The sequence below is a fragment of the Homo sapiens genome, chromosome 19, assembly GCF_000001405.40.
Source record: "Homo sapiens chromosome 19, GRCh38.p14 Primary Assembly".
In the NCBI taxonomy this organism is placed as follows: Eukaryota; Metazoa; Chordata; class Mammalia; order Primates; family Hominidae; genus Homo; species Homo sapiens.
Window position 1 is genome coordinate 43,498,380 of NC_000019.10, and position 7,586 is coordinate 43,505,965.

Here is a 7,586-nt window from a genome sequence, read left to right on the forward strand (position 1 = left end):
GAAAGAGGGAAGGAACGAAGGAAGGAGAGAGAGAAAGAAAAGAGGGAGGGAGGGAAGAGAAAGAAAAAGAAAGAAAAGGAAAGGAGGAGAAAGAGAAACAAAAAGGAAGGAAGGAAGGAATGATGGAAGGAAGGAAAGAAGAAAGAAAATTAATGAATGCAAAACATATTCATGTTATGTGATACGGTGGATGCAGAAGTGGATTGTGTCTGGGCCCTGTCCTCCAAGTGGGAACACAGCCAGTTGGAAAGATCAGGGCAGTAAAATCCAGAGACTGTGGGAACCCAGAATGAAGAACAATGTCAGCCAGAGGTTGAGGCTGCAGTGATTGCACTACTGCACTCCAGCCTGGGCGACAGTGAGACCCTGTCTCAAAATCAAAACAAAACAAAACAATCAGGGAGCATTTGGATCTGGGAAAATAAAAGGAGCTAGAAGAGCATTTTGGGCAGAGGAAGCGGCTTGGCACAAATGCATGAAAGTTGAAAAGTACAAGAAGTCTGGGGGACAAACTCCAGCCAGGGTGGAAGAGGATGTGGTGGTGGGAAGAACGTGGTGGGAGAGGACAGTGGGAAGGCCAGCTCGTCCAGCTCACGGGGGGTTTGGTCAACCTGGGGATATGGGGAGCCTCAGAAGGACTGAAAGGATGGGGTAGGAGCTAGGAATCATCCCTCTGGGAGATGGGTTACAGGGGTGGAGAGCAGCTGCCTCGGGAGTCCTCCAAGCAATGAGGGTGAGACCTAAGCTGGGGCCTGGGCGGTGGGGCTGAAAAATAGATGGACTAGACAGAGAGGATCAGGAAGCAGAAAGGATAGGACATGGTGGTTGACGGGCTTGGAGGTGAGAGACAGGGAAGTGTACAGGGCAAAGTCCAGGACTCTGGCCTGGTGACCAAAGGGACAGCAAGACAAACAGTGTGGAGAAGGGAGTTGCTGAGGTCAGCCAGACTCCTGGGTCAGAGGGAGGAGGGGCTGGGGCCTGGATTCCTGGATCTAAGGAAGGAGGATCTGGGGGTCTGGACTTCTGGGTTTGAGGGAGGAGGAGCTGGGGGTCTGGACTCCTGGGACAGAGGGAGAAGGGGCTGCGACCGAGATTTCTGGATCTGGGTGAGAAGGGAGTATGAAGTAGCCAGTACCCTAGGAAGAAGAGCACATTTCTGTCTCAGGAGAGAGGGCCTGGGAGAAATATGTGATCTTTGAGGATAAATGAGGGCCTAGGACCCAGCCTCATAAAATTCCAACATACACGACACTTGCAAAGAAAAAAACTGACAAAATCACAAGTCACCATTTTCCAACCTATAATGGTAACTGACCCAAGCAATGACCACTGATGGATGTTACAATCTTCAGATAAAAGATTCTTTTTTTTGAGATGGAGTTCTGCTCCCGTTGCCCAGGCTGGAGTGCAGTGGTGTGATCTTGGCTCCTGGGAGCTGCAACCTCCACCTCCCGGATTCAAGCAATTCTCCTGCCTCAGCCTCCCGAATAGCTGGGATTACTGGTGCCTGCCACCACGCCCAGCTAATTTTTTGTATTTTTAGTAGAGATGGGGTTTCATCATGTTGGCCAGGCTGGCCTCGAACTGCGGTGGCTCATACCTGTAATCCCAGCACTTTGGGAGGCCAAGGCGGGCAGATCACCTGAGGTCAGGAGTTCGAGACCAGCCTGACCAGCATGGAGAAACCCCATCTCTACTGAAAATACAAAATTACCCGGGCATGGTGGTGCATGCCTGTAATCCCAGCTACTGGGGAGGCTAAGACAGGAGAATCGCTTGAACCTGGGAGGCAGAGGTTACGGTGAGCCAAGATCACGCCATTGCACTCCAGCCTGGGCAACAAGAGCGAAACTGTGTCTCGCAAAAAAAAAGAGACTAGGGTGATCTTATTAGGTCGGGACAACCAGAGATGAGGTTCCCAACACTGGCTCAGGAAGCACTAAAGCACTTCTGAATACGATCAAACCTCTCCCTCTAACCAACACCCACTTGCAGAAACAGAGGCATGTTCAAGGGCACCACAGGCATGCGATCAGCCATGCTCTGCCTATAGGACAGAAGACTGGATTTTTCCAATAAACAGTATGGGGAAGACACAGCGGGTAGGAACCACCAGAGATAAAACAATGGGCAAGACGTATCAGCCAATCACACTGAACTTTGGGGACTTCATTCAAACAAGCCACCTGTTAACTGGCATTTTGAGACTGTCTGGGAAACACAAAAACTAACCAGAAATAAGACAATACTAAGAACTTATTAATTTTTTATTTTTGAGACAGGGTCTTGCTCTATCGCCCAGGTTGGAGTGCAATGTTATAATCACAGCTCACTGCAGCCTCTACCTTCTGGGCTCAATTGATCCTCCCACCTCACTCTTCTGAGTCTGAGGCCACAGGCACATGCCACCATGCCTGGTTAATTTTTGTATTTTTATTTTTCACAGAAACGGTGTCTTATTATAATATTGCCAGGCTGGTCTCATAGTCTTGGCCTCAAGCGATCCTCCCACTTTGCCCCGCCCCCCGTACCCCCCCCCCACCCCGCAAGTACTGGGATTACAGGTGTGAGCCACTTGGCCCAGCCTAAAAGGATTTCTTATCTGTCAATGATACACTCTAAACATATGTACAGACCATATGATGTCTGGGATTGGCTTTTAAAACTGGGGACGAGAACAAATTGGAGATAATGAAACAAGAATGTAAGAATATTAATCATTGATGAAGCTGGTGGGCACAGGACATGGGAGCTGCCTGACTATTGTGGGGTGGGTTTGGAAGTTTTCTTTTTCTCTTTTTTTTTTTTTTTTTTTTTTGAGACGGAGTCTCCTTCTTGTCACGCAGGCTGCTGGAGTGCAATGGTGCGATCTTGGCTCACTGCAACCTCCATCTCCCGGATTCAAGCGATTCTCCTGCCTCAGCCTCCCAAGTAGCTGGGACTACAGGCGCCCGCCACCACGCCCTGCTAATTTTTGTATTTTTAAGCAGAGACGGGGTTTCGCCATGTTGCCCAGGCTGGTCTCAAACTCCTGAGCTCAGGCAATCCGCCCGCCTCGGCCTCCCAAAGTGCTATGATTACAGGCGTGAGCCACTGCTTCCGGCCAGTTTGGAAGTTTTTACACACCCACATTTAAATAGCAAACGGACAGGGGACAAAGGAAGAGCCCCAAAAATCTCGCCCAGGGAGGGAGAAGGAAAACCAGGAGGGGCATCTGCCCCTCACTCTCTCAGGAGCCCAAATGTCTTCCTTTGGGGAATGGGGACAACCCCGGGGCGCAGGTGGCTAGGAGCACACCAACATCCATGGACCAGGAAGGACACTGCTGATGAAGACCCGGTGAGCCAAACAGACCTGTTCCCGCTGCTGGCGGCCGCGCTGCTCCGAGGCCGCCTGCTGCTCCAGCAGCTCCCGCAGCTGCTCCTCCTCCCGGCGAGCGGCCACTCGCTCCCCAGCCAGCTCACCCCGCAGCAAGGCCACCTCCACCTCCATCTGCGGAGAGAATGCCAGGGCTGGGGGCTCGGACGCCTAGGTCCAAGGAAGAGGCCCAGGGCCTGAACTACCGGATTCGAAGGGAGGATGGACTCCAGGGACCTGAATTTGGAGGGAGGAAGAGCGGAGGGCCTAAAATCTGATCCCACCCGAGGAAAAAGCTGGGAGTCCGGCTTTGCGGGTTCCGCTTGAGTTGGGGCCAGGCTTCCCAAGGGGTCCGCAGCCTCACCTCGATCCTCAGCTCCTTCCTCTGGCGCTGTAGCTCCTTCACTCGCTGCTCCATCAGGGCCACACGAGTCAATGCCTCCAGCTGCTGTCCTTGCAGGCGCCGCGCCGCCCCTCGCACCCCTTCCCGCGAAGAGGTGGATGCGGGAGGTGTGGCCGCCATAGCTATCGGAGGCGTAGCCTCGGGCTGAAGTTGAGGGGGGCGTGGTTAAGTGGAGATGCCTCGCCCCCTGCAATCACTAAGTAGGTCTGGTCCCCACCCAACATCACCCTCTGCGGGTCTCAGTCCATCAGTCCACTTACCTAACACAACCACCACTCCCATAATCTGTCGCAGGCTCTTTTCTTTTTCTTTCTTATCTTTTTTTTTTTTTTGTCCTGAGATAGGGTCTCACTGGCTGGAGTGCAGTGGCGCGATTACGGCTCACTGCAGCATCGACCTCCCTCGCTCAAGCGATTCTTCTGCCTCATCCTCCTAGGTAGCTGTGACTACAGGCGCGCACCGCCACGCCAAGCTCTTTTTTTTTTTTTTTTTTTTTGGCAGAGAGGGGGCGATGCTATGTTGCCCAGGCTGGTCTCAAACTCCTAGGCTCAAGGGATTCTCCCACCTCGGCCTCCCAAAGTGCTACGATTACAGGCATAAGCCACCGCGCCCGGCCTCAGACCCCTGTATTTAAGGTCGGAGTGGGGGAGGGTGCAAGTCCCGTGACCACCCAACCACACGGACCACAGAGGCTTGCAGTACCGTATGGAGGGTGAGCAGGTGTAAAGCCGACTTATGAAAGGTGTTTCTTTTTCTCTATCAGGTCCTATTCTCTTGGCGTCACTTTCTTGTAGTGCCTGGATCTGTCTCTGTCTCTCCACCTGACCCCAGTCTCTCAGATTCGGTATCTGTCCACTAGATCTGTCCACTAGAATCACTAGATCTTTCTTCCTCGGAGTATGTCCCTCTCTCGAGGTTTTTGTCTATTTGTTTCTCTGAGCATCTCTGCCATTTATTTCTGGGTTTCCCTCTGTCTCGATTCCCCTCTCTCTGACTCTAGTCTCACTGTGTCTCTGTCTTTTTGGGGTCTTTGTCTCTCAGTCTCCATGTCTCTGGGTCTCTGTCTGGCTTCTTGATCTCTCTGCATCTCTTACTCGTTTGGTTCTCTCTGTTCTGTAGTCTCTCCTGTCTGTCTATCTGGTCTCTCTCTCTCTCTCTCTCTCTCTCTCTCTCTCTCATTTTTAGAGATAGGTTCTGCTTTGTCCCAGGCTGGGGTGCAGTGGCGCAGTCATAGTTCACCGCAGCCTACAACTCCTGGGCTCAAGCGATCCTCCTGCCTCAGCCTCCCGAGTAGCTGGGATTACAGGCACGCGGCACTGCGCTTGGACAATTTTTGTATTTTTTTTTTCTCTAGAGACAGGGATTTGCTATGTTGCCCAGACTTGTCTCGAACTCCTGGGCTTAAGCAATCCTCCCCTCGGCCTCCCCAAGTGCTGGGATTACAGGCGTGAGCCACCTATCTGGTTCCTCTATACTAGTCTCTCTGTCTCTGTCGCCCGTTTGGGTCTATCTCCGTTCTTGGGGCCTCCCCGTGGCTCTATCTGGTTTCTGTCTCTGTATCTGGTTTCTGTCTGTCTGTGCCTCTGCCTCTCTGGCTCCGTGTCCTGGTGTATCTCTCTCTCAGTAGTCTCTGCTATCACTCGGTCTCTCTCCCTGTCTCCGGGTCTCTGTCTTTCTGGTTTCCCTCTACCTGTCTACCTGTCTGGCCACCTGTTTGGGTCCCCGTCGGTCCAAGCCCCCCGCGCTGTCGCCCTCGGGCCCCTCACCGCGTCGCGGCTGCTCTCAGTGCTGCTGCCTTCTCCCACTTCTTCTTCCTCTGCCTGCTGCTCAGCTCCCCCGCGGCTCGAAGGTTCCGCCAGGACTTCGGATGCCTCCTGTTCCCGGGACTCCTCGGGATGGCCCTGGGGCTGGACCTCCACGTCGCATTCCGGGACCAGCGGCGGCGGGGTCCCCTCCTCGGGGCTGCTTCGCGTCCCCATGGCCGCTGGGACTCCTGCGGGGTGGGCGGGACCAGAAGCTCCGGGGGCGGGGCCTAGGACGGCTGAGCGCCGCTCGCGTCTGCTCCGGGGCGCGGAGACCCCCCCCCAAGGAGGCGGGGCCTAAGAGTTCAAAGGATGGAACTGAGCGTTACGGAGGCGTGTCCTGAAGTTTCCAGAGGCGGGGCTTGATGGCTCCAAGGCGACACGCCACCGGAGACGGGACCGGAATTTGAGTCCGGGTCGTAGCACGCCCCCTACTGACCTCTTCGACCCCGCCTCCCCTCCCTCATCTCTAGGTGTCAGGCCTTGTACCCTCCCAGCAGCCCCCTACAATCTCTTGGATTCGCTTAGAGCGACCCATCTTCTCCCTCCGAGACTCAGCAGTTCGGCTCCCGCCCCATCCTTCCCGGAGCCCCGTAGTCTTAGTCCCGACCCCACTGTGCAGGGCAACCGTGCCCACGCCGCCTCACCCAGGGATCCAGGAGTCGGGGCTCTCCTTCTCTGAACAAGCCAGGAGTCGGAGTCCTTGAGATTCCGAAGTCCAACTGCCACCTCCCCACAGCCTCGGCCCCCTCACGAGCTCAGGCTTCGGCGCGCTCCGCTCTGCGCGCTGGGCACGGCCGCTTCTGCCTATGAGACAGGTGGCAGGGGAAGAGGGAGGAGAGAGGCCGCCCGGTCCCCCTCCCCAGCAGCCCGGAAGTGGAGGGGGGACAACAGGTCCAACAGCTCCCGAGGGAGGAGGGAGCCACGGGCTTGCCCCACCCGTGGCCTCGGCATCCGGCCATCCCGGCCCCACCGGCCCCGGCCCGGCCCCACCCTCGTGGAACTCAGCATCGCGACCTCCCAGTCTCCCTCGAGCCCCTCATTCCTGCCCCCCTGGAGGAGTCTTGGCCACCTCTGTATGGGAGCCTCTCTAATGTCCAGACCTTGGGAGTTCAGAAAGGAAGGCAGGAATGGAGATGGGGACGTCTCCCCTCTAATGAGCCCTTCAGAAGGGCCCTGACCGGTTTGGGGAGCTGGACAAGGGGAAGGGGTGCCCTGAACTGAGTCAGACACCTGCCCAGAGACTGAGGGAAGTGTACCGCCACCCCCCCACAACTTTGCTATGGGGTGGAGGGCAGAGGTTAAAGGTCTCAGCCAGACCCTTTCCTCTCTGGGCGAAAACAGGAAAATGAAAACAGGAAAATAACTGGTATATGAAAAGGGATGATTAGAAGTCAAGAGCTGTGTGAAACACTTTATACCCAGTCATTTAATTTCACCCTCAAAGCTGTCCAGCGAGAAAGTGATTACTACCTCCATTTCTTTTTTTTTAGTAGAGACTGGGTTTCTCCAGGTTGCCCAGGCTGATCTTGAACTCCTGGGCTCAAACAACCTGCCTGCCTCAGCCTCCCAAAGTGTTGAGATTACAGGCGTGAGCCACCGCTCCTGGCCTACTATCTCCATTTTACACTTGGGGATACAAGCTGAGGAGGACAAATGCACCCAAGGTTGGCTGGGCACAGAGGCTCAGGCCTGTAATCCCAGCACTTTGGGAAGCCGAGGCAGGTGGATTGCTTGAGATCAGGAGTTCAAGGCCAGCCTGGGCAACATGGAGAAACCCCATCTCTACTAAAAATACAAAAATTATGCCAGGCGTGGTGGCACACACCTGTCATCTCAGCTACTCCAGAGGCTGAGGCAGGAGGATATCTCGAGCCCAGGAGGTCGAGGCTGCAGTGAGTCTTGAATGTGCCACTGCACTCCAGCCTGGGCGACAGAGTAAGACCCCATCTCAGAAAAAAAAAAAAAAATGTAGCCAACATCTACACATGTTGTAAGTGGTAAAATGCAGGCTTCATTCTCTC

General features: G+C 54.7%; 1 protein-coding gene across 7 annotated transcripts in view, besides 4 other annotated features; it reads right to left on the bottom strand.

The window, feature by feature from the left end:
• The window catches only part of PHLDB3 (pleckstrin homology like domain family B member 3), a 29,644-nt gene extending 23,277 nt beyond the window's left edge, over window positions 1-6,367 (bottom strand). For 5 of the 7 annotated variants that reach the window (XM_005259170.5, XM_005259169.5, NM_198850.4 and 2 more), the window contains exons 1-4: window positions 6,210-6,367; window positions 5,527-5,753; window positions 3,722-3,904; window positions 3,355-3,492 (exon numbers count right to left, since the gene is read on the bottom strand). In XM_005259170.5, coding sequence (XP_005259227.1) covers window positions 3,355-3,492; window positions 3,722-3,904; window positions 5,527-5,739 — 534 coding nt within the window. In that variant the 5' untranslated portion in view covers window positions 5,740-5,753; window positions 6,210-6,367. Of the gene's footprint in view, window positions 1-3,354; window positions 3,493-3,721; window positions 3,905-5,526; window positions 5,770-6,209 lie in introns of those variants that run through there. The other 2 variants (XM_047439241.1, XM_047439240.1) reach the window with 1 other exon arrangement.
• Window positions 718-1,012: an enhancer, noted in NCBI's record as "tiled region #2471; HepG2 Activating DNase matched - State 5:Enh". NCBI's record gives its function as "activates a minimal TATA promoter and a strong SV40 promoter by Sharpr-MPRA in HepG2 cells {active_cell/tissue: HepG2}" and the evidence as "EXISTENCE:reporter gene assay evidence [ECO:0000049][PMID:27701403]".
• Window positions 5,503-6,025: an enhancer, noted in NCBI's record as "H3K4me1 hESC enhancer chr19:44008034-44008556 (GRCh37/hg19 assembly coordinates)". NCBI's record gives its function as "activates a minimal SCP1, AML or CMV promoter by ChIP-STARR-seq in primed H9 embryonic stem cells {active_cell/tissue: H9 hESC(primed)}" and the evidence as "EXISTENCE:reporter gene assay evidence [ECO:0000049][PMID:30033119]".
• Window positions 5,654-5,903: a silencer, noted in NCBI's record as "silent region_10718". NCBI's record gives its function as "represses an Ori minimal core promoter by ATAC-STARR-seq in GM12878 lymphoblastoid cells {active_cell/tissue: GM12878}" and the evidence as "EXISTENCE:reporter gene assay evidence [ECO:0000049][PMID:35858748]".
• Window positions 6,504-6,563: a silencer, noted in NCBI's record as "silent region_10719". NCBI's record gives its function as "represses an Ori minimal core promoter by ATAC-STARR-seq in GM12878 lymphoblastoid cells {active_cell/tissue: GM12878}" and the evidence as "EXISTENCE:reporter gene assay evidence [ECO:0000049][PMID:35858748]".